The sequence below is a fragment of the Homo sapiens genome, chromosome X (genome assembly GCF_000001405.40).
Source record: "Homo sapiens chromosome X, GRCh38.p14 Primary Assembly".
In the NCBI taxonomy this organism is placed as follows: domain Eukaryota; kingdom Metazoa; phylum Chordata; class Mammalia; order Primates; family Hominidae; genus Homo; species Homo sapiens.
In genome coordinates this window covers 63,008,235-63,035,545 of record NC_000023.11, presented here as the reverse complement: position 1 = coordinate 63,035,545, position 27,311 = coordinate 63,008,235, and positions in this window count along the sequence as shown.

Here is a 27,311-nt window from a genome sequence, read left to right as displayed (position 1 = left end):
CCTAAGTGAAATAACTCGGAAACATAAAGTCAAATACCACATGCTATTACTTACCAGAGAGACCTAAACAATGGGTACATATGAACATGCACAGTGGATTAGTAGACATTGGGGTCTTCAAAAAGTGAAAGAGTAAGAGCAAGTTCAGGGGTAAAACATTTCCTGTTGTGTACATTGTACACTATTTGGGTGTTATACTAAAATTCCAGACCAAACTGCGATGCAATATATACATGTTACAAAAGTGCACTTGCACCCCAAATTTATAAATACATATAAAATCTGTATATTATAAATATATGTGTATAAATATATGTATGTATATATAAATATATATTTGTATATATTTAAAATACATAATTTCCAAATCTATGTTTATACAAAAGCTAGATTACACAAGAATACCTGAAGCAAGTGCTGCAAGAGTTAATGTTTTCACTTTTAATTCTTAGAAGTTTTTTCATTAATGACATAAATTTACATATTTCTTGGTATAATATTTCAATACATGTGCATCTTATATAATAATCAAATCAGGGAAGTTAGCATGTTAATTACCTCAAATATTTATCATTTCTTTTTGGTGATAAGTTTCAAAATTCTTTTTTCTAGCTACTTTGCAATATACAATTTTTAAAAATCAATACCCTTGTATTAGCTATATTCACCCTTCTATGTAATAGATCATCATAAATTACTTTTATTTATTTATTTATTTATTTTTTTGAGACGGAGTCTCTCTCTGTCGCCCAAGCTGGAGAGCAGTGGTGCGATCTCAGCTCACTGCAAGCTCCACCTCCTGGGTTCACACCATTCTCCTGCCTCAGCCTCCCAAGTAGCTGGGACTACAGGCACCCGCCACTACACCCAGCTAATTTTTTTTGGTAGTTTTTTAGTAAAGACGGGGTTTCACCGTGTTAGCCAGGATGGTCTTGATCTCCTGACCTCGTGATCCACCCGCCTCGGCCTCCCAAAGTGCTGTGATTACAGGTGTGAGCCACCATGCACAGCTTACTCTTTTTATATAACTATAATTTTGTACCCATTGACCGAACTCTCTTCATTTTTCCTTTTCTCCTTTCCCCAGCCTCTTGTAATTACTCTTCTACTCTCTACTTCTATGAGACTAACATTTTAAAATTACATATACGATTCAAGACCAGACTGGCCGACATGGTGAAACCCTGTCTCTACTAAAAATACAAAAATTAGCTGGGTGTAGTGGCATGTGCCTGTAATCCCAGCTACTCGGGAGGTGGAGGGAGGATAATCGCTTGAACCTGGGAGGCTGAGCCGAGATCGCACCACTGCACTCCAGCCTTGGCAACAGATTGAGACTCCATTTTGGAAAAAAAAAATCACATATGAGTGACGTTATGCGGTATTTGTCTTTCTGTGTCTGGCTGATTTTCCTTAACATTATGTCTTCCAGGTTCATCCATGTTGCCACAAATAACATAATTTTATTATTTTTCAGGGCTGAATAGCATCCCATGTTGTATGTATATCACTTTTTCTTTACCCATTCATCTATTGATGGACATGTAGGTTAATTTCATCTCTTTGCTACTGTGAATAGTGCTGCAACAAACATGGAGTGCAGATTTTTTTTTTTTTTTGACATGCTGGCTTCCACGACTTTCTATGTACCCAACACACAGATTGTTGAATCATATAGTAGTTGTTTTTGATTTTTTGAGGAATCTCCATACTTTTTATCATGATAGCTGTACTAATTTATATTCATACCGAGAGTATATAACAGTTCTCCTTTCTCCATATCCTCACCAGAATTTGCTAATTTTCTGATAGTCATTCTAACTCATTCTTATAGTTCATTCTAAGGCAAAGTGATATCTCATTTTGGTTTTGATTTGTTTGCCTTTTCCTAATGATTAGTAATGTTGAGTAATTTGCCTTTTATCTGCTGGCCATTTGTATGTTGTATTCTTAGAAATGTATATTCAGGGCAATAATTTTTAATTGCTGAAAGATAAAATCTGTCAATCAAAATTAAACCCAGTTAAATATCCTTCAGGGAGTAAGGGAAAATGAAGATACTCTTAAGAGGATGGTTTAAGACAGCTTACTAGATGCAATATTTCTCTTTCATGGAGAGAAACCAAAATATCAGGTAAATATTCACATTTAAAATGGATCTTTTGAGAAAAAAAAAACAGTATGATTCAACAGAGAGGTGATGGAAGACAACACAGTTGAAGAGTCAGAAAGCCTGGTTGCCTGTTCAATGTTGTTGGGTGCCAGAACCAGATTATGGACCCAGATCCAGGAATGGGTGTGTGAGGAAACCCCAGGTCACCATATTCCCACTGAGATTCTAGCTACAGAATTCCATGACTGCTGCAGACCTTTAGATTGGCCAAGCAATTTACTGGATTACCACTCAGAGGAACTGCTGAAACTTGTGTGGAGCCCCAAAGGCTTGAGTTCACTGGGTAGCTGCAGCAAAGCATGACTCTGGGTGCCTAATCACCAAGGCACTGTGTTCTTCCCTGACCTCCTGAAACTGCTGATGTCAGCCAGTTTGGGGAGAGGACAGGGTCCAGTCACTATAATGTGCACCAAAGACAGACTTGGTCACCATTGCTGCAGGATTGAGATGCATCAGAAACACACACCCTATGCCTGGCGGTCTCTCTCAAGATTACCTGTCTACTTGTTTCTTCAAGCGGGGGGGCCAGAGCATAGCCACCATTGCCTCCCCTGAGAGTTTTTTGATAGCTTTGGAGCACTTCAAGCTTCCTTATAACAGCCAGTGGTTGAGCTGGAGGTAAGAGAAAACAAATCCATGGGTCTGGTTCAAGTTCATCTGGACTTGAGCTCACCAGGCAGAGGAATGGAGATAAGATTTGTGTCCTGAGTTTGAAGCCAGGAGAAGCCCCTACTGTCAAAACACAGAGAAGAGTGTAACATAGCTTTTTGTAGGGGCGAAGGGGATGAGTGCCCCTCCATTAGTAAGACTGGGCCAGGAAGGTTGTGGCCTGATAGCCATGGTTTCTTTTTCAGGGTGTCTTGCATCTCAAAACATCTGGAACATCTCTACGAACTGAATTCAGATTGTCTGGGACAAGCCTTACTCTCCTGGCCTACCACCAGCAGCTACATGCTGGGGGGAATTGCATGGGAACTGGGAAGGTCCCACTGCTCTCTGCTGGGCTGCAAAACCTGGGTCACTCCTCTTCCCCTAAGCAAGGTCTGTGACGTAGGAGAGATGTTTCTGTCCCTCCCTGGAGAGTTGTCCAAGTAGTCTGAATGCTGCCCCTGGACCATAACCAAAGTTGCCCCCTTCTCACAAGTCAGAGAGCCTTGTCGCAGGCTTGCTAACCCACTCCCAGCTAGCTTTGCAACCTCCAGCCTCCTTGGCAGGATAGCACAAAACAGGAAACACTGGAAGCCTCATAGCCCCGCCTATTGCACAAGATACTCTGGTAATTCCCCTGATGACCAGTAGCCAACCAAAATTCTGCTACCACCCCCACAAATGCCTTTAGCCTGCAAGAACCACTGACTTGCTAAGAGGTTAACCTGCATGGCCCATTAAACTGCTGACACCATTTACAGTGCTTGGGAGACTCTTATCCACAAGTGTCAATTACTGGCCTGAAGGGTAAACTGCACGGCTCAATATAATTCCTGCTTCCCGAAGTGCACCGAACCGAAAAACGAGAGTAGCCTCCCAAGAGCTCCACCCTCTCATCTCTGCAGAAGACAGTGCATCTGCTTGCATACACAACACACCACTACTACAACCTACAAATAGCACTGGAGAAAACCACTACACTAAAGCTATTTATCACCAAGGAATTAATCAAAAGCTTTGGCCTCATAAGGCACTAACAAGCAAAGCCAAAGGACCCTACTCAACATAAGCAAAGGTCTTACCCTCAATGGGGAAAAATTTCCACAGAACTGAAAGTGAATTCCAAAATAAATAGTGACAGCTTCTTCATATAAAAAGGACATAGCATAAGAACTCCAACACCATGAAGAAACAGTGTGTTGTGATACCTCCAGTGGAACATATGAGCTCTCTAGCAATGGATCTTAACTGCAATGAAACTTTTGAAATGAAAGGTAAAGCATTGAAAATATAGATTTTAAGGAAGGTCAGAGATTCAGGAAAAAATTTTGAAAGATGATTAATTATATGAAAGATGAAATAAATAAACAATCTAAAATTTGGAAATCAAAAATTTACTGAAGAATTTCAAAATATAGTTGAAAGCATTAAAATTATACTAGATCAAGCAGAAAAAATTACAGATCTTGAAGTCCAGTATTTCAAATTAACCCATTCAAACATAAAGAAAAAAATAAAAATGAACAAAGACTTCAAGAAATATGGGATTGTGTAAAGCAACCAAATGTATGACTTACAGGTATTCCTGAGAGGTAAAAAAGAAAAAAGAAAAGTTTGGAAAACCTATTTGGGGTGATAATTTGGGAAAATTTCTGTAACCTTGCTAGAGTTGTAGATCAGAAAACACCTGGAAGATATTATGCAAGATGAACAGCATCAAGACATATAGTCATCATACTCTCCAATATTAATGTGAAAAAACATCTTAAAAGCAGCTAGAGAGAAGCATCAAATTACTTACAAATGCAACCCCATCAGACTAATAGTGAACTTCTTCATGGAACCTTACGAGCCAGAAGACACTCAGGGACTATTTTCAACCTTATTAAAGAAAAAAATGTCATCCAAGGATTTTATATTTTTCCAAACTGAGTTTCATAAATAAAGGGAAAATTAAATCTTCCTCAGACAAGTAATGTTAGGAGAGTTTGTCATTGTTATACAGCCTTTACAAGAAATGCTCAAAGAAGTCCTAAGCATTGTGATACGGTTTGGCTGTGTCCCCCCAAAAAATCTCATCTTGAATTGTAATCCCCATAATCCCCATGTGTCAAGGGCAGGACTAGGTGGAGGTAGCTAGATCATGAGGGCAAGTTCCCCCATGCTGTTCTTGTGATAGTGAGTGATCTGATGGTTTTGTAATCATCCGGCATTTCTCCTGCTTGCACAAATTCCATCCTGCTGCCCTGAGAAGAAGGTGTCTGCTTCTTATTTACCATGATTGTAAGTTTCCTGAGGCCTCCCTGGAAATGCAGAACTGTGAGTCAATTAAACCTCTTTCCTTTATAAATTATCCAGTCTCTGGTATTTTTTCATAGCAGGGTGAGAATGGGCTAATACACACTGACACAAAAGAATGATATTCACCATCATAAAATCACATGTAAGTACAAAGATCACAGATTCTATAAAGCAATTACACAATTGAAATGACAAAGAAACTAGCTAAAAACACTATGATGGGAACAAACCCTCACATATTATATTAACTTTGAAAATAAATGGCCCAAATGTTCTACTTAAAACATGTAGACTGGAAAAAATAGATAGAAAATCAAGATTCAATGATTTGGTAACCACAACAGACCCACCTAACAAGCAAAGGCACCTAAAGTTTCAAAGTAGAAGGGTGAAATAAGTTACATCATGCAAAGGGAAAATGAAAATGAGCACTAGTAGCTATACTCATATCAGATAAAATCAGACTTTGAATCAACAATAGTACAAAAAGACAAAGAAAGTCAGTATATAATAAAAAAAGGTTCCATTCAACAAAGAGTTTTAACTACACTAAGTATATATAAACCCAAAACTGTAACACAGAGATTTATAAAACTAATACTACTAGATCTAAGATAAAAGATAGACAAATATATAATAATAATAAAAATTTCAACACCCCAATGACAGCACTAGACAGATCATTGTGGCAGAAAATCAACAATGTAACTCTGGACATAAACATGACCATAGATCAAAAGGACCTAATAGATATTTTTCCAACATTATACCCAGATAATTGCAGAATATATATGTTTCTCATATGCACATAGAATAGTCTCCAAAATAGACCATGTGCTCGGCCATAAAGTGCCAATAAGCTAAAAACATTAAAATAATCTAAAATATCTTCTCACATCAAAGCAAAATGAAATTAGAAATCATGACCAAGAGAAAGTCTCAAAACCGCACAATTAAATAAAAACTAAACAACTTGTTCCTGAGTTAACTTTGAATAACCAACTAGAGGTAGACATAAATAAATTTTTTGAAACAAATGAAATAGAGATGCAATATACTGAAACCTCTGTGATACAGCAAATACTGTGCTAAGAGAAAAGTTTAGATTGTTAAATGCCTACATCAAAAAAGACATCAAATTAGCAACCTAACATGGCACCTCAAATAATTACAAAACAAGAACAAATAAAACCCAAAGCTAGCAGAAAAATAACAATTTCAGCACACATCTAAATAAAATTGAGACAAAATATGATTAAAAAGTATCAAAACAAAATGTTGTTTTTTAGAAGATTAAACAAAACTGATAGACAACTAGCTAAATTAACTAAGAAAAAAGATGAGATTCAAGAAAGTAAAGTCAGAAATGATAGAAGTGATATTACATCTAATACCACAAAAATACAAAACATCTCCAGATACTACTATAAGCATGTCTAATTAAAAAAAAAACTAGAAAAATTAGAGAAACAGATAAACTCTGGGAAACATGAAACCTTCCAGGAATGAACCAGAAACAGATAGAAATGTAGACTAGATGAATAATAAGTAATGAAAATTGAATCCATAATAAAAAAATCAAAACAATAAAATCCCCAAATCAGATTATTCCAGAGCTGAATTTTATCAGACTTACAAAGAAAAGCTGTTGCCCATCTTACTGAAATGATATAAAAAATTCAGGCATGAGTGATTCATCCATAAATCATTGCACAAAACCACTATTGCCCAAATAGCAAAATCAGGCAAAGAAACAACAACAACAACAAACAGTAAGCCAATAGCTCTGATGAACATAGATGTAAAAAACCTGAGCAAATTACTAGCAAAGTGACTTTAACAGCCCAACAAGAAAATAACTCATCACAATCAAGTGGGTTTTATTCCAGAGATGCAAAGATGGTTCAATATATATAGTAATTAATAAATGTGATTTTCTACATAAATTTTTTTCCACATAAAGATAATTAAAAATAAAATGAACAGTATTATCTCAATAGATTAGAAAAAATATTTGATAAGATCCAACATCCTTTCATGAGAAGAACCTTCAACAAGCTAGGCATTGAAGGAACATACCTCAAAATAATAAGAGCCACATACGACAAACAACTAACTAACCTCATACTAAATGGAGTAAAGTTGAAAGCGTTTTGATATGGTTTGGCTGGGTCTCCAACCAAATCTCACTGGGAAGTGTAATAATCCTCAAATGTCAAAGGTGGTGCCATGTGAAAATAATTGAATCATTGAGGGAGTTTTCCCCATGCTGCTCTTGGGGTAGTGAATAAATCTCACGAGATCTGATGATTTTATATCTGAGAGTTACCCTGCACAAGCTCTACTGCCTGCTGCCATGTAAGACATGACTTTGCTCCTCATTCACCTTCTGCTATGATTGTGAGGCCTCCCCAGCCATGTGGAACTGTGAGTCAATTAAACCTATTTTCTTTGTAAATTACCCAGTCTTGGGCATGTCTTTATTAGCAGTATGAGAACAGACTAATACAGTAAATGGGTACCAAGCTGTGTGGTGCTGCTGTAAAGATACCTGAAAATGTGGAAGTGATTTTGGAAATGAGTAACAGGCAGAGGTTGCAACAGTTTGGAGGGCTCAGATGACACAAAAATATGGGAAACTTTGGAAGTATTTAGAGACTTGTTGAATGGCTTTGACCAAAAAGTTGATAGTGCTATGGATAACAAAGTCTAGGCTGAGGTGGTCTCAGATGGAGTTGAGGAACTTGTTGGGAACTGGAGAAAAGATGACTTACTCTTATTATGCCTTAGCAAAGAGACTAGTAATATTTTGCTCCTGCCCTAGAGATCTGTGGATCTTTGAACTTCAGATAAAAGATTTAGGGTATCTGGCGGAAGAAATTTCTAAGCAGCAAAGCATTCAAGAGGTGATTCAAGAGGTGCTGTTAAAAGCATTCAGTTTTATGTATTCACAAATATATGGTTTGGAATTAGAACTTATGTTTAAAATGGAAACAGAGCATAAAAGTTTGAAAAATTTGCAGCCTGAAAAGACAATAGAAAAGAAAACCCCATTTTCAGAGGATAAATTCAAGCTGTATTCAAAAATTTGTATAAAAAAAAGAGGATCCAAAAGTTAATCATAAATACAATGGGGGAAAGGTCTCCAGGGCGTGGGCCTAGGAGGGAAAATTGTTTTGTGGGCTGGGGCCTGAACCTTCCTGCTTTGTGCATTCTTTGGACTTGGTGCCCTACATCCCAGCCATGGCTAAAAGAAGCCAACTTGCAGCTCAGGTCATGGTTTTAGAGTGTGCAAGCCCCAAGCTTTGGCAGCTTCCACCGGGTGTTGAGCCTATGGGTACACAAAAGACAAGAATTGAGGTTTGGGAACTTCCATCTAGATTTCAGAGGACTTATGGAAACGCCTGGATGTCCAGGCAGAAGTTCACTGCCCAGGCAGGGCCCTCATGGAGAATCTCTGCTAGGGCAATGCAGAAGGGAAATGAGGGGTTGGAGCCCCCACACAGAGTCCCCACTGGGGCACTGCCTAGTGGAGTTATGAGAAGAAGGTCACCATCCTCCAGACCCAAAAATGGAAGATACACTGACAGCTTGCACCATGTACCTGGAAAAGTTACAGACACTCAACACTAGCCCATGAAGCCAGCCAGGAGGGGAGCTGTACCCTGCAAAGCCACAGGGGTGGAGCTGCTCCAGAACATGGGAACCTACCACTTAGATCAGTGTGACCTAGATGTGAGACCTGGAGTCAAGGGAGATCATTTTGAAACTTTAAGATTTGGCTGCCCTGCTGCATTTTGGACTTGTGTGGGACCTGTAGCTCTTTTGTTTTGGCCAGTTTCTCCCATTTGGAACAGGTCTACTTACCCAATGCCTGTACCCCCATTGTATCTAAAAAGAACCTAACTTGCTTTTTATTTTACAGACTCATAGGAGGAAGAAACTTACCTAATCTCAGATGAGACTTTGGACTGTGGACATTTGGGTTAATGCTGGAATGAGTTAAGAATTTGGGGGACTGTTGGGAAGGCATGATTGGATTTGAAATATGAGGACCTGAGATTTGGGAGGGGCCAGGGGCAGAATAAAATGGTTTGCCTGTTTCCTCACCCAAGCCTCACCTTGAATTATAATAATTCTCATGTGTCAAGGTTCAGGTGGAGATAATTGAATCATAAGAGTGATTTCCCCCATCCTGTTCTTGTGGTAGTAAGTCTCATGAGATCTGATTGTTTTATAAATGGGAATTGCCCTGCACAAGCTCTCTTGCCTGCCACCATGGAAGACATGACTTTGCTCTTCATTCACATTCTGCCATGATTATGAGGCCTGTTCAGTCATGTGGAGCTGTGAGTCAATTAAACCTCTATCCTTTATAAATTACCCTGTCTTCAGTATGTCTGTATTAGCAGCGTGAGAACAGACTAATACACATTTTCTTTAAGAACAGGGTTATAACGAGGATGCCTATGCTTGGCACTCTCATTCAACATAGTACCAGAAGTCCCAAACAGAGCAGTAAAGAAAGAGAAAGAAACAACATGCATCCAAATTAAAAAAAGAGGAAGTTGGAGTATCTCTGTTTGCTTGTAAAATTATTTTTATCTCTAGAAAACTCTAAACACTCTTTTGAAAGACTACTAGATTTGATAAATAAATTCAGTTTCTGGTTACAATAATCAGTAGTGTTTCTATATAACAATAACCTTCAGATTGAGAATCAGATAAAAAACTCAATACCATTTACAAAAGGCACACACACACACAAATTATTCTGGAATAAAGTTAATGAAGGAGATGAAAGATCTATACAAGGAAAATTACTAAACACTGATAAAAGAAATCATAAGTCACACAAACAAATAGAAAAAATATCATATGCTCTTGGATTGGAAGAATCAATATTATAAAATGACCATACTGCTCAAAACAATCTACGGATTTAGGGCAATATTTATCAAATTACCAATGTCGTATTTTATAGAATTATGAAAAAATGCTAAAAATTATATGCAACCAAATAAAATCCTAAACAACCAAAGCAACTCAACATTAAAACAAAGCTGGAGGCATCACATTACCTGACTTCAAACTGTACTACAAGGCAGTATTAATCAAAACAGAATGGTACTGGTACAAAAGTAGACATATAGATCAATGGAATATAAATAGAATAGAATAGAATAGAATAGAATAGAATAGAATAGAATAGAATAGAATAGAATGCAAGAAATAAAACCAAATACTTATTCTCAAATAATCTTTGACAAAGTCAACACAAATATATAATTGGAAAAGTACATTCCGTTCAATAAATGATGCTGAGAAAACAGAAAACCCATATGCAAAAGAATAAAACTAAACCCTCTCTCACACCTTATACAAAAATTAATTCAAGATACATTAAAGATTTAAATGTAAGACCTGAACCCGTAAAAATTTAGAAACTACTCTTGAAAACTTGCCTAGGCAACAAATTTGTTAGTAAGACCAAAAAACCAAATGCAACAAACTCATAAATAGACAAATGGTACTTAATTAAACTCTAAACCTTCTGCACAGCAAAAAAGACAATTATCAAAAAAAGCAGAAAACCTATAAAATGGGAGAAAATATTTGGAAACTTAGCATCTGACAGATTACTAACATCTATAATCTACAAGGAACCCAAACAACTCAAGAGGAAAAAACAAATAATCTCATTAAAAGTCGCCAAAGTATATGAAGAGATATTTCTCAAAATTAGACATACAAGCAGGCAAGAAACACATGAGAAAATGCTTAACATCACTAATTATTAGTATAATACAAACTAAAACTACAATGAGTTTCTACTCAGACTACTCAGAATGTTTATTACTGAAAAGGCAAAAAACAACAAAACAGATGTTGAAGAGGCAGAGAAAAGGAAACACTTTTACACTGTTGGTGGGAATGTAAATTAGTGAAACCTTATGGAAAACAGCCTAGAAATTTGTCAAAGATCCTAAAATAGAACTGTTATTCATTCTAACAATTCTGCTACTGGTTTTCTATCTGAAGGAAAATAAATAATTATATAAAAAACACACCTGCACTCATATGCTTATCACCACATTATTTAAAATAGCAATGCCATGAAAATCAACTCAGGTTACCACTGATGGTGGATTTGATAAAGAAAGTGTGCTATATATATATACCAGAAAATACTGTGCATCCATAAAATTTAAAATCATGCATTTACAGCAAGACAGATTGAGCTGGAGGCTAGTATCTTAAGTGACATAACTCAGAAGCAGATAAACAAATATTGTGTGATCTCATTTATTAAGAAATGGGTACACATAGACATACATGAAAAAAATTATAGACATCAAAGAGGTTAAAATGGAAAAGGGTGAGTGTTGAAAAATGACCTATTTGTTACAATGTTCACTATTCAGGTGATGATTAAAGTAGAAACATAAATCTCATAATGACACAGTATATGCATGTAACAGACATGCACATGTAGCACATGAACCTTTTATAATAATTTTTAAAAGGCACTTTTGGGAAAAGAAACTCTTAGACAACTAAATTATCTTAAAATATACACTTGGAATGTACATACAATGAAACAATATTAAGCCTTAAAAAGGAAGAAAATCCCATTATATGCTTCAACTTCAATAAATCTTGAAGACATTATGCTAAATAATATAAGCCAACGAGAAAAAATGAATACTACATGATCCAAATTTTGTGCATTATCTAAAGTAGAAGAATTCATTGAAACTCAAAGTAGAATGATGTTTATCAAGGGATGGGAATAAAAGGAAGACTTGTTGTTTAATAGGTATGGCTTCAGTTTTGCAAGATAAAAAAATTTCTGGAGTTTGGTTGCAGAACAAAATGCATATCCATAAAAATATTGAACTGTGCTCTTAAATTATTAATATGGTAAATTTTATGTTATGTGTTTTATTAAAATTTTTTTAAATTAAAATACTCTACAGTTGAAGAACAATTAAATGAAATTCTTCAAATGAAAACATATAAAACCAAAAAATGGCTTGGAATATTATTTAAAAAGAAATGTTGATGGAGTAAATGTAGGAGTAAATGAAGTTCTTAAATCATGTCTCACAGCTGAAGTACACATAACATTATCTTATATAATAATCAGTGTAGATAGAGGAAATACTTAACAAAATTACATTGAAAATGCAGAGAAGATAAAATAAATTAAACTATACTTGGTTTTCTTTTTTTTTCATGGTTTGACTTAGGATTTTTTATATATATATATATATATTTTAAGTTCTAGGGTACAGGTGCACAACGTGCAGGTTTGTTACATATGTATACATGTGCCATGTTGGTGTGCTGCACCCATTAACTCATCATTTACATTAGGTATATCTCCTAATGCTGTTCCTCCCCCATTCCACCACCCCACAACAGGCCCCAGTAAATGATGTTCCCTTTCCTGTGTCCAAGTGTTCTAATTGTTCAATTCCCACCTATGAGTGAGAACATGCGGTGTTTGGTTTTCTATCCTTGTGATAGTTTGCTGAGAATGATGGTTTCCAGCTTCATTCATGTCCCTACAAAGGACATGAACTCATCCTCTTTTATGGCTGCATAGTATTCCATGGTGTATATGTGCCACATTTTCTTAATCCAGTCTATCATTGATGGACATTTGGGTTGGTTCCAACTCTTTGCTATTGTGAATAGTGCCACAATAAACGTGTGCATGTGTCTTTATAGCCGCATGATTTGTAGTCCTTTGGGTATATACCCAGTAATGAGATGGCTGTGTCAAATGGTATTTCTAGTGCTAGATCCTTGAGGAATTGCCACACTGTGTTCCACAATGGTTGAACTAGTTTACAGTCCCACCAACAGTGTAAAAGTGTTCTTATTTCTCCACATCCTCTCCAGCACCTGTTGTTTCTTGACTTTTTAATGATCGCCATTCTAACTGGTGTGAGATGGTATCTCATTGTGGTTTTGATTTGCATTTCTCTGATGGCCAGTGATGATGAGCATTTTTTCATGTGTCTGTTGGATGCATAAATGTCTTCTTTTGAGAAGTGTCTGTTCATATCCTTCACCCACTTGTTGATGGGGTTGTTTGTTTTTTTCTTGTAAATTTGTTTGAGTTCTTTGTAGATTTTGGATATTAGCCCTTTGTCAGATGAGTAGACTGCAAAAATTTTCTCCCATTCTGTAGGCTGCCTATTCACTCTGATGGGAGCTTCTTCTGCTGTGCAGAAGCTCTTTCATTTAATTAGATCCCATTTGTCAATTTTGTCTTTTGTTGCCATTGCTTTTGGTGTTTTAGACATGAAGTCCTTGCCCATGCCTATGTCCTGAATAGTATTGCCTAGGTTTTCTTTTAGGGTTTTATGGTTTTAGGTCTAACATTTAAGTCTTTAATCCATCTTGAATTAATTTTTGTATAAGGTGTAAGGAAGAGATCCAGTTTCAGCTTTCTACATATCACTAGCCAGTTTTCCTAGCACCATTTATTAAATAGGGAATCATTTCCCCATTTCTTGTTTTTGTCAGGTTTGTCAAAGATCAGATGGTTGTAGATGTGTGGTATTATTTCTGTGGGCTCTGTTCTGTTCCATTGGTCTATATCTCTGTTTTGGTACAAGCATCATGCTGTTTTGGTTACTGTAGCCTTGCAGTACAGTTTGAAGTCAGGTAGTGTGATGCCTCCAGCTTTGTTCTTTTGGCTTAGGAGTGATTTGGAAGTGTGGGCTATTTTGGTTCCATATGAACTTTAAAGTAGTTTTTTTCAATTCTGTGAAGAAAGTCATTGGTAGCTTGATGGGGATGGCATTTAATCTGTAAATTACCTTGGGCAGTATGGCCATTTTCACGATATTGATTCTTCCTATCCATGACCATGCAATGATCTTCCATTTGTTTGTGTCCTCTTTTATTTCATTGAGCAGTGGTTTGTAGTTCTCCTTTTGAAGAAGTCCTTCACGTCCCTTGTAAGTTGGATTCCTAGGTATTTTATTCTCTTTGAAGAAATTGTGAATGGGAGTTCACTCATGATTTGGCTCTCTGTTTGTCTGTTATTGGTGTATAAGAATGCTTGGGATTTTTGCACACTAATTTTGTATGCTGAGACTTTGCTGAGGTTGCTTATCAACTTAAAGAGATTTTGGGATGAGACAATGGGGTTTTCTAAATATACGATCATGTCATCTGCTAACAGGGACAATTTGACTTCCTGTTTTCCTAATTGAATTCCCTTTATTTCTTTCTCCTGCTTGATTGCCTGGGCCAGAACTTCCAACGCTATGTTGAATAGGAGTGGTGAGAGAGGGCATCCCTGTCTTGTGCCAGTTTTCAAAGGGAATGCTTCCAGTTTTTGCCCACTCAGTATGATATTGGCTGTGGGTTTGTCATATATAGCTCTTCTTATTTTGAGATACACCCCCATCAATACCTAATTTATTGAGAGCTTTTATCATGAAGGGTTGTTGAATTGTGTCAAAGGCCTTTTCTGCATCTATTGAGATAATCTTGTGGTTTTTGTCTTTGGTTCTGTTTATATGCTGGATTACGTTTATTGATTTGTGTATGTTGAACCAGCCTTGCATCCCAGGGATGAAGCCCACTTGATCATGGTGGATAAGCTTTTTGATGTGCTGCTAGATTAGGTTTGCCAGTATTTTACTGAGGATTTTTGCATCAGTGATCATCAGGGATATTGGTCTAAAATTATCTTTTTTTGTTGTGTCTCTGCCAGGCTTTGTTATCAGGATGATGCAGCCCTCATAAAGTGAGTTAAGGAGGATTCCCTCTTTTTCTATTGATTGGAATAGTTTCAGAAGGAATGGTAGCAGCTCCTCCTTGTACCTGTAGTGGAATTCGGCTGTGAATCCGTCTAGTCCTGGACTTTTTTTGGTTGGTAGGCTATTAATTATTGCCTCAATTTCAGAGTCTGTTATTAGTCTATTCAGGGATCGAACTTCTTCCTGGTTTAGTCTTGGGAGGGTGCATGTGTCCAAGAATTTATCCATTTCTTCTAGATTTTCTAGTTTATTTGCATAGAGGCATTTATAGTATTCTCTGACGGTAGTTTGTATTTCTGTGGGATCGGTGGTGATATCCTCTTTATCAGTTTTTATTACGTCTATTTGATTCTTCTCTCTTTTCTTCTTTTTAGTCTTGCTGGTGGTATATCAATTTTATTGATCTTTTCAAGAAACCAGCTCCTGGAATCATTGATTTTTTGAAGGGGTGTTTGTGTCTCTATTGCCTTCAGTTCTGCTCTGATCTTAGTTATTTCTTGCATTCTGCTACCTTTTGAATGTGTTTGCTCTTGCTTCCCTAGTTCTTTTAATTGTGATGTTAGGGTGTCAATTTTAGATCTTTCCTGCTTTCTCTTGTGGGCATTTAATGCTATAAGTTTCCGTCTACACACTGCTTTAAATGTGTCCCAGAGATTCTGGTATGTTTTGTCTTTTTTCTCATTCGTTTCAAAGAACATCTTTATTTCTGCCTTCATTTCGTTATGTACCCAGTAGTCATTCAGGAGCATGTTGTTCAGTTTCCATGTAGCTGAGCGGTTTTGAGTGAGTTTCTTAATCCTGAGTTCTAGTTTGATTGCACTGTGGTCTGAGAGACAGTTTGTTATACTTTCTGTTCTTTTACATTTGCTGAGGAGTGCTTTACTTCCAACTATGTGGTCAATTTAGGAATAGGTGTGCTGTGGTGCTGAAAACAATGTTTATTCTGTTGATTTGGGGTGGAGAGTTCTGTAGATGTCTATTAGGTCTGCTTGGTGCAGAGCTGTGTTCAATTCCTGGGTATCCTTGTTAATTTTCTGTCTCGTTGATCTGTCTAATGTTGACAGAAGTGTGTTAAAGCCTCCCATTATTATTGTGTGGGAGTCTATGTCTCTTTGTAAGTCACTAAGGACTTGCTTTATGAATCTTGGTGCTCCTGTCTTAGGTGCATATATATTTAGAATAGTTAGCTCTTCTTGTTGAATTGATCCCTTTACCATTCTGTAATGGCCTTCTCTGTCTCTTTTGATCTTTGTTGGTCTTTTCACATAGTCCCATATTTCTTGAAGGCTTTGTTCATTTCTTTTTACTCTTTTTTCTCTAAACTTCTCTTCTCGCTTCATTTCATTCATTTGATCTTCAGTCACTGATACCCTTTCGTCCAGTTGATCAAATCGGCCACTGAAGCTTGTGCATGCATCACGTAGTTCTCATGTCATGTTTTTCAGCTCTGTCAGGTCATTTAAGGACTTCTCTATGCTGATTATTCTAGTTAGTCATTCGTCTAATGTTTTTTCAAGGTTTTTAGCTTCTTTGTGATGGGTTTGAACATCCTCCTTTAGCTTGGAGAAGTTTGACCATCTGAAGCCTTCTTCTCTCAACTTGTCAAGGTCATTCTCCATCGAGCTTTGTTTCATTGCTGGCGAGGATCTGCATTCCTGTGGAGGAGAAGGGGCACTCCCATTTTTATAATTTTCAGCTTTTCTGCTCTGGTTTCTCCCCATCTTTGTGGTTTTATCTTCCTTGGGTGTTTGATGATCATGACGTACAGATGGGGTTTTGGTGTGGATGTCCTTTCTGTTTGTTAGCTTTCCTTCTAACAGTCAGGACCCTCAGATGCAGTTCTGTTGGAGTTTGCTGGAGTTCCACTCCAGACGCTGTTTGCCTGGGTATCAGCAGCAGAGGCTTCCGAACAGCGAATATTGCTGAACAGCAAATGTTGCTGCCTGATCATTCTTGTGGAAGCTTTGTCTCAGAGGGGTACCCAGCCATGTGAGGTGTCAGTCTGCCTCTACTGGGGGGGGGGGGTGCCTCCCAGTTAGGCTACTCAGGGATGAAGGACCCACTTGAGGAGGCAGTCTGTCCATTCTCAGATCTCAAACTCCATGCTGGGAGAACCACTACTCTCTTCAAAGCTGTCAGACAGGGACATTTAAATCTGCAGAGGTTTCTGCTGCCTTTTGTTTGTCTATGCCCTGCCCCCAGAGGTGTTGTCTACAGTTGCAGGCAGGCCTCCTTGAGCTGCGGTGGGCTCCACCCAGTTGGAGCTTCTGGGCCACTTTGTTTACCTACTTTAGCCTCAGCAATGGTGGACGCCCCTCCCCCAGCCTTGCTGCCCACCTTGCAGTTTGATCTCAGACTGCTGGTGATAGCAGGCTCTGTGGGCATGGGACCCTCTGAGCCAGGCACAGGATATGGTCTCCTGGTGTGCCATTTGCTGAGACCCTTGTAAAAGCACAGTATTAGGGTGGGAGTGACCCAATTTTCCGGGTGCTGTCTGTCATGGCTTCCCTTGGCTAGGAAAGGGAATTCCCTGATCCCTTGCACTTTCTGGGTAAGGTGATGTCTCACCCTGCTTTGGCTCTCACTCCGTGGGCTGCAGCAACTGTCCTGCACCCACTGTCTGACATGCCCCAGTGAGATGAACCCAGTACCTCAGTTGGAAATGCAGAAATCACCTGTCTTCTGCATTGCTCACGGTGGGAGCTGTAGATTGGAGCCGTTCCTATTTGGCCATCTTGGAACTGCCTGTTTTCTTTATTTCATAAAGATAAAACAATTTGTTGATAGCAAATTTGTTCTCTAGAAATGGCTGAAGAAACCTTGTAAATGACGATAAACAGAAAGCATAATAACAGAAAAAAATATGGCATACAGTAGACTATTCTAATTTTGCATGAGATTTGTATATCACATTGGTAATTGGATGAAAATATAATAATATCTGATACTCAAGATGGTACTCAGTATATAATATATCAACACTGGTGGACTGTAATTTCACAAATACATAGTAATAATCAAAGCAATAACTAAGAAAATATACAAAGAGATACCTCTAAAAACTACAAGCGAATAAAGACAGAATCTTAAAAAGTGTTAAAAATCTAGTAAGAAACTTAAATTGAATAATGAAAAACATAAAAAGCAAATACAATTAATACAATGTTGGACTTAAGCTCTAACATATTAATAATTAACCATAAATAATCTAAATACACCAACAAATGGCAGAGAATGACACAATGAATTAGAAAAACAAAAACAACAACAACAACAACAACCATGGTGGCTGTCAAGATGGCTGAATAAGAAAAGCTCCCATCTGCAACTCCCAGTGAGATCAATGCAGAAGGTGGGTGATTTCTGGATTTCCAACTGAGGTATCTGGCTAATCTTGTTGAGACTGGGTAGACAGTGGATTCCGCCCATGGAGGGCAAGCCAAAGCAGGGTGGGGCACCCCCTCACCCAGGAAGTGCAAGAGTTGGTGAACTCCCTTCCCTAGCCAAGGAAGCTATGAGGAACTATGCCATGAGGAATGGTGTATGCTTTTCCCATGGTCTTCACAACCCACAGACCAGGAGATTCCCTCTGGTGCCTATACTACCAGAGCCCTGAGTTTCAAGCACAAAAGTGGGTAGCCATTAGGGCAGGCACTGAGCTAGCTGCAGGATTATTTTGCATACCCCAGTGGTGCCTGGAATGCCAGTGAGACAGAACTGTTCACTCCCCTAAAAAGGGGGCTGAAGTCAGGGGGCCAAGTCATCTAGCTCAGCAAATCCCACCCCCATGGAACCCAGCACGCTAAGATCCACTGGCTCAAAATTCTCACTTCCAGCACAGCAGTCTGAAGTCCACCTGGGACACTTGAGCTTGGTGGGGGGAAGGGCATCCACCATTACAGAGGCTTGAGTAGGCGGTTTCTCCTTCACAGTGTAAACAAAGGCACCAGGAAGTTTGAACTAGGCAGAGCCCACTGCTGCTTGGCAAAGCCACTGTAGCCAGACTGCGTGTCTAGATTTCTCCTCTCTGGGCAAGGCATCACTGAAAGAAAGGCGGCCTTAGTCAGGGACTTATAGATAATATTCCCATCTCTGGGACATAGAACCTGGGGGAAGGAGAGGCTGTGGGCACAGCTTTGGCAGACTTAAGCGTTCCTACCTGTTGGCTCTGAAGAGAGCAACAGATCTCCCAGCACAGTGCTCGAGCTCTGCTAAGGGACACACTGCCCCCTCAAGTGGGTCCTACACCCCCATGTCTCTTGACTGGGAGACATTTCCTATCAGGGGTAGACAGACAACTTATACAGGAACGCTCTGGCTGGCATCTGACAGGTGACCCTCTGGGATGAAGTTTACAGAGGAAGGAACAGGCAGCAATCTTTGCTGTTCTGCAGCCTCCACCAGTGATACCTAGGCAAACAGGGTCTGGGTCTGGAGTGGACTTCAAGCAAACTCCAGCAGACTTGCAGCAGACAGGCCTGATGGTTAGAAGGAGAACTAACATTCAGAAAGGAATAGCATCAACATCAACAAAAGGACGTCCACATAGAAACCCCACATGAAGGTAACCAACATTAAAGACCAAAGGTAGATAAATCCATGAAGATGAGGAAAAACCAGTGCAAAAAGGCTGAAAATTCCAAAAACCAGAACACCTCTTCTCCTCCAAAGGGTCACAACTCCTTGCCAGCAAAGGAGCTCAACTGGATGGAGAATGAGTTTGATAAATTGATGGAAGTGGGCTTCAGAAGGTGGGTAATAAGCAGCTAGCATCATAATGACAGGATCAAATTCACACATAACAATATTAACCTTAAATATAAATGGGTTAAACGCCACCAATTAAAATTAACAGCCTGGCAAATTAGATGATAGAGTCAAGACCCATCAGTATGCTGTGTTCAGGAGACCTATCGCATGGGAAAAGACACACATAGGCTCAAAATAAAGGGATGGAGGAATATTTATAAAAGCAAATGGAAAGAAAAATAAGCAGGGGTTGCAATTCTAGTCTCTGGTAAAATAGACTTTTAACCAACAAAGATCATAAAAGACACAGAAGGGCATTACATAATGGTAAAGAGATCAATGCAACAAGAGTAACTATCTTAAATATATATGTACCCAATACAAGAGTACCCGCATTCACAGAGGAAGTCCTTAGAGACTTACAATGAGACTTAGACTCCTACACAATAACAGTGAGCGACTGTAACACCCCATTGTCAATATTAGACAGATCAATGAGCCAGAAAATTAACAAGGATATTCAGGAATTGAACTCAGCTCTGGACCAAGAGGACCTAAAAGACATCTACAGAACACTCCACCCAAAATCAACAGAATATACATTCTTCTCAGAAACACGTTGCACTTATCCTTAAATTGACCACATAATTGGAAGTAAAGCACTCCTCAGCAAATGCAAAATAATGGAAATCATAATAAACGGGTTCTCAGACCACAGTGCAATCAAATTAGGACTCAGAATTAAGAAACTCACTCAAAACTGCACAACTACGTGGAAACTGAACAACCTGCTCCTGAATGACTACTGGGTAAATAACGAAATTAAGGCAGAAATAAATAAGTTTTTTGAAACCAATGAGAACAAAGATACAATGTACCAAAATTGCTGGGACACAGGTAAAGTGGCTTTTAGAGGGAAATTTATAGCACAAAATGCCCACAAGAGAAAGCAGGAAAGATCTAAAATTGACACCCTAACATCACAATTAAAAGACCTAGAGAAGCAAGAGCAAACAAATTCAAAAGCTAGCAGAAGACAAGAAATAAGTAAGATCAGAGCAGAACTGAAGGGGATAGAGACATGAAAACTCTTCAAAAAAATAAATGAATCCAGGGGCTGGTTTTTTGAAAAGATCAACAAAATACGTAGATCACTGGCCAGACTAATAAAGAAGAAAAAATAAAAGAATCAAATAGACACAATAGAAAATGTTAATGGGGATATCACCACTGATCCCATAGAAATACAAACTACCATCAAAGAATACTTTAAACACCTCTATGCAAATAAACTAGAAAATCTAACAGAAATGGATAAATTCCTGGACACACACACCCTCTGAAGACTAAACCAGGAAGAAGATGAATCCCGGAATGGACCAAAAATAAGTTCTGAAATTGAGGCAGTAATTAATAGCCTAACAACTAAAGGCCAGCCTGCAGGCCAAGCCTCTGACCCTACCCTAGGACTCCACACCAGGAGAAAAAAAAAACCAACATTAAATGTTGAGAAAAAGTGGGCACTAGTTATGTCATATCCAGAAGCTTAAACAACACTCCTTGCTGCCTCAAAGCCCACACCATACCCCACATATACAGGGAGACAACACACACAGCTAATTTTTGCAAGAAGACAGGCACAGATTCTTCCAAGCCCAGTATATAAATTGCCATTCCTAGGCCCTGCCAAGAGAGATAATCATCTGGGTGAATTTTGCTAAATATCTGCCACTAATTCTGCCACAAACAGAAGCTAAATCAGCACTCCACGGGGCCCCAAAGCCCACCTTCAGACCCCACCCAGGAAGAAAGGCAAATTTTTTATTTTTTAAATTTTATTTTACTTTAAGTTCTGGGATACATGTGCTGAACGTGCAGGCTTGTTACATAGGTATGCATGTGCCATCATGGTTTGCTGAGTCTATCAACCCATCATCTAGGCTTTAAGCCCCGCATGAATTAGGTAAAGCAAATCTTAAATATGCATTCTTGCTGAACATGGAAGTGGGTTTTATTCGTTTTACTCCACTTTACTCTGGGATCCTTCTTCAACTGTCTCAAACTGCTAAATTTAAACAATGATACTTTCTGACCAGGGAATACACCCTATGGCCCATATGAGTCAGAGGCAATTGTAGTTTCCAGTATCAGGTCAGCTTGATTACAGAGCTAAACCAGTAACCTTGACATCTGGCAGAACTTAGCCAACTGCTCCCCTCAAATTTCGAGTAAAGGTAGAATCCCAGGCATCTAGAGAATCTGAAAGCAAGCTCCTCCAGCCCAAGGTTAATACAAGCTACCCTACCCAGAATTATAGGATAGACTAAATAGTGAAGGTTTACCCTTGCCAAAGAAAACCTGTGCGAACTGGAAAAAGAGTTTGTCTTTGCAAATGCACAAATACCATCAAAAGAAAACAATGGTTACAAAGAAATAGAAAATCATAAAATCTACAAAGGAAATAAACAAAGCTTCAACAATATGGTGAAGTAGAAACAATTTGTCTTTAATCTTTTATATAATACCAAAAACAATTATCCAGTGCCAAGATTATCACTAGGAATATCCCAGAACTCAAAATCAAGGCTGTCACAATCCCGGGAACCAAAGAGGAGTAAAAAACCACAAGCACGCAATCAGAGAAATGAACTTCTATAATTGCAACACCTCTCCCATCAAGCTTCCCCACATGCCATGTGGAAATATCCCCCCAGACTCATGATTCTACAGCAAAAAACTGGGATCAGGGCAGACAGCCAGCTTCCCCACCAACTTTGGTTTCTTTGTAGGAAAATTGTTCTTGCCTAAATCCATAGGAAGCAGAGTAAGTGCATGTAGGGTGAAAATCCTGAGGCATGTGTGAAGGTAGGGCTGCCCACACCAAGCTTGTGAAATGTGGTGGCTGCTTTTTATCACAGTCAGAGGAGACTCCTTATTAGAGAAGCTATTCAGCAGCACCACACTGTAAGAAGCATGCTTCATAGGTCCTCTAGGCACAAACATCTAGCCAGCCTTTCCACACAGCAAGGATATCCCCATTAGGACCTCTACATCTGGAATAGGCAGCTCTTGAAAAGTTTGTGAATGCCACAGCAAACCAGGGCTTAGAGTGACATCTAGTGCTTAAAAAGAGGGAGCAGTATCACAATAAAGGAACTCAGTCATTCTGCACAAAACTTCTAGACAGAATAAGTAACACAGATAGCAAACATTAGAATAAACAACTAAACCCTTCAATGTGAAAACAGACACATATCCATAACAAGAGCAAATGGAAAACTATGACCTCTACAAATGGACAAAAGAAGGAGGGAGTGGCCGACCATAATGAGACAGCAACGCGTGTGCTCTCAGATCAATAATTCAAAATAGCAGTTTTGAGAAAACGCAGAAAAATCAAAGGAAAACAGAAAAGCAACTAATAAAAATACCAGAGAAACTTTAAAAAGGGTAGAAATAATAAAAAATTAAAAAGAAAGCCTGGAGCTACCAAATAAAATAAGTGAACTAAAAAAAAAATGCAGTAGAGGGTACCAACAGGAGAATTGATCAAGCAAAAGAAAGAGCAGAAAAAGAAAAATGAAGAGTGAAGAGAAATAATGTTTAAGACATCTACAAAATAACATCAAAAGAGCAAATCTAAGACTTATTTGCCTTCAAGATGTACTTAAGAAAGAGCAAGTTGTACAAACCTTATTCAAATAAAATATAAAGCATTTTGAACATACAGAAATATATCAATGTCTAGTTACAACAAGGTCAAATATTACCAAATATATTGAAGCTAAATAACACTACCCCAGCTGGGCATGGTGGCTCATGCCCATAATCCCAGAACTTTGGGGGGCCGAGACAAGCAGATCATGAGGTCAGGAGATTGAGACCATCCCGACTAACATGGTGAAAACCCTTCTCTACTAAAAACACAAAAAAAATTGGCCGTGTGTGGTGGCACTCACCTGTAATCCTAGCTACTTGGGAGGCTGAGGCAGGAGAATCGCTTGAACCCAGGGGGCGGAGGTTGCAGTAAGCTGAGATGGCACCACTGCACTCCAGCTTGGGCGACAGAGTGAGACTCTGGAAAAAAAAAAAAAAGACTACCCCAAGGCATATCATAATCAAAGTCTCAAAGGCCAAGGACAAAGAGAGAATCCTAAAAACAGAAAGAGTAAAAAAGCACATAACACAGAAAGGAGGTCCAATTCATATGGCAACAGTCTTGTTAGCAGAAACCAAACAAGCCATGAGAAAGTGGAAGGGACATATGCAAAATGCTGAAAGAAAAGTAATTGCCAATCAAAAATACTGTGTTCAGTGAAGCTATTCTTTAAACATGAAAAAGAAGTAAAGATTTTCCCAGCCAAGTAAAAGCTAAAGAAATTTGTCACCACCTGATCTATCTTAAATAATTCAGAAGTAACATCCTTAATCTCAAATAATGATAATGAGCAACAAAGAAACATCTGAAGGTATAAAACTCACTAATAAAAGTAAGTATAAGAAAAATCCAGAATAGCTCGATACTGTAATTGTGGTTTGTAAACTAGTCATATCTCTAGTATTAAAACTAAAAGAAAAAACTAGAAAATATAATAATAGCTACAGTATTTCGAGACAGATACTATAAAAAGATGTAAATTAAGAAAACAAAAAGTCAAACTGTTGAGGAAAATGGGAATAAAGTACATAAAATTTAAAGTTTTTTATTGTGATCAAGGTTAATTTGTCATCAGTTTAAAACAACTTAATTTAACTCTAAGATGTTTTTGTTAAGTCCCCCATTTAACTACAAGCAATAACTTATAACATGTAAAGAAAAAAGCACCGACTTAAAACATACTACTGGGGAAAGTAACCATCAAGGAAGTCAATAAGAAAGAAAGGAAGAGAGTACTTACAGAGCAACAATAAAGAAGTGACAAATGGCAGTAGCAAGTTCTTGCCTATGAGTAATAACCTTGAGTGTAAATAAACTAAAATTTGAAATCAAAAGTCATAGGGTGACTGAATAGATGAAACAAACAAAAACAAGTCTATAACTCTATAATTTCTACAGGAAACTCACTTTCCTTATAAAGAAACATATAGACTGAAAGTGAAGAGAATAAATTATAACTGTATATTTTCTAGCTGCAGTGGAACAAAATCAAATATACAAATGGAAAAATACAAATAAAAAATATGAGAAACTTTGGAGACTATAAAAATAATTCAACATTGAACCCTGTGCTCCTGAAAAACCAATAGATCAATGAAGCAATTAGAGAGAACAAAAAAATTGAAACAAATGAAAATAAAAACAAGAAGTAGAAAGACTTTAATGAACAACCTAAAAATGCACCTAAAGAAAATAAGGAAGTAACAACAAACCAATTCCCAAATTAGTAGAAGAAACAATATAATAAAAATCAGTGTAGAAATAACTAAAATTGAGATTTAAAAGGCTACAAAACATACAAACATTGAATTTTGTGTGTTGAAAAGACAAACAAGATTGATGAACTCTTAGATAGTTGAACAAATAGAAGTATGTTTTCAAGTCTTTTGCCCACTTCTTAACGGAGTTATTTGTTTTTCTTATCTTGTTGATTTGTTTAAGTTTCTTATAGATTCTGAATATAAGACCTTTGTTAAATACATAGATTGACAATATTTTCTCCTATTCTGTAGGTTGTCTGTTTAATCTGTTGATAATTTATTTTGCTGTGCAGAAGCTCTTCAGTTTTAGTTACTACTTGTCACTTTTTGTTATTGTTGTATTTTGCCTTTTAGGACTTAGTCATAAATTCCTTGCCAAGGCAGACACAGAGAAGGGTGTGTTTTAAATTTTCTTTTAGGATTGTTATAGGTTTAGATCTTACATTTAACTATTTAATTCATGGTGAGTTAATTTTTGTATATGATGATAGGTAGAAGTCCAGTTTCATTCTTCTGGGTATGTTTTTTCAGTTATCCTCACATCATTTATTGAATAAGGAGTTCTCTTTCCTCATTGCTTATTTTTGTCAGCTTTGTTAAATATCAGTTGATTATAAGTATGCAGCTTTATTTCTAGGTTCTGTATTGTGTTCCATTGGTCTATGTGTCTGATTTTGTATCAGTACCATGCTGTTTTGGTTACTATCTCTTTATGGTATAGTTTAGAGTTGGTTAATGTGATGCCTCTGGCTCTGTTCTTTCAGCTTAGGGTTGCTTTTGCTATTCACACTCTTTTTATTTTTGGTTCCACTTGCATTTTATAATAATATATTTTTTCTATTTTTGTGAAACATGGCATTGCTAGTTTGATAAGAATAACATTCAATCTGTAGGTTGCTTTGATAGTATAAACATTTTAACAATATTGATTCTTTTAGTCCATGAGCATAAAATGTTTTTCCATTTGTTTGTGCTACCCACAGTTTTATAGTTCTTCCCATAGAAATCTTTCACCTCCTTGGTTATCTGTCTTTATTTCTGTTTTTTTTTTTTTTTTTTTGTGTGTGTGTGTGTGTGTGTGTGTGTGTGGCTTTTGTAACTGTCATTGCATTCTTGTTTGGCTCTCAGCTTGAGTGTTATTCATGTATAGAAATGTTCCTGATTTCTGTGTATTGATTTTATTTATCCTGGAAACTACACTGAAGTCATCTCCTAAATCTAGGAGCCTTTTGTCAGAGTATTTAGGGTTGGCACATTTACAGCATGCAATACTAGGCATCCATAAAAAAGAATAAAATTATATCCTTTGCAGCAATATGAATGCAGTTAGAGTCCATTATCCTAACAGAATTATCACAGAAACAGAAAAGCAAATCTTACATGTTCTCACTTACAAGTAGGTCTTAAAGAGTTGGTTAACATGGACGTAAATATGGAAACAATAGAAACTGGGGACTTCCAAATCGAGGAACAACAGAGGGGGCAAGGGTTGAAAAACTACCTATATGGTACTATGCTCATTACCTGGGTGATGAGTTCAATTCTACCCCATGACTCAGTATTATGCAATATACCCATACGACAAACCTGAACATGTGTTCCTTGAATCTAAAAGGAAAGTTTGAATTTAAAGCAATAAGTAAGGCCAATTAGAAACATATTTGTTGTTCAAAGTGATATTGCTATAAGATCTATCAACTAGTACACTACTCTATTATTATTGGTTGCAGGCATTTTTTAGGTGCAAAGCAAATAGAAAATAATGGTTTCTAAACACTATCACTGACATTCACAGTAAGAAGATTTTGAAGTTTGTTCATTTACACAAAGTTAGAGTTAAACAGTGATATTCCAAGAGTGCTTATCAGTGTGGTTAAACAAGGTGTAGTGATAACTACAAGGCAGTGCTTTTGATAAAAATTTCATTTATTCAGTTTGCACAATATTGAGAGTTCATTTTATGATCTGTATATTCAACTTAACATTGCCTTCAAAATATTTCTAATAAACAGTTTTCAAAACCGAAAATTATGTGGCAAAATTTGCTTTTCTTTTCTCAGGCTTCTTCAAGAAATCTGAGGATGAGGGCTCATTACCCTGTCTTCCTTGCCACACTCCCAAGATTATGGACACAGGACAATTTGGTTCTTAAAACTAATGGTTGTCATAAAATATGTGTTTAATTAACATACACACACACACACACACATATATGTTATATGTGAAGGCTTAGT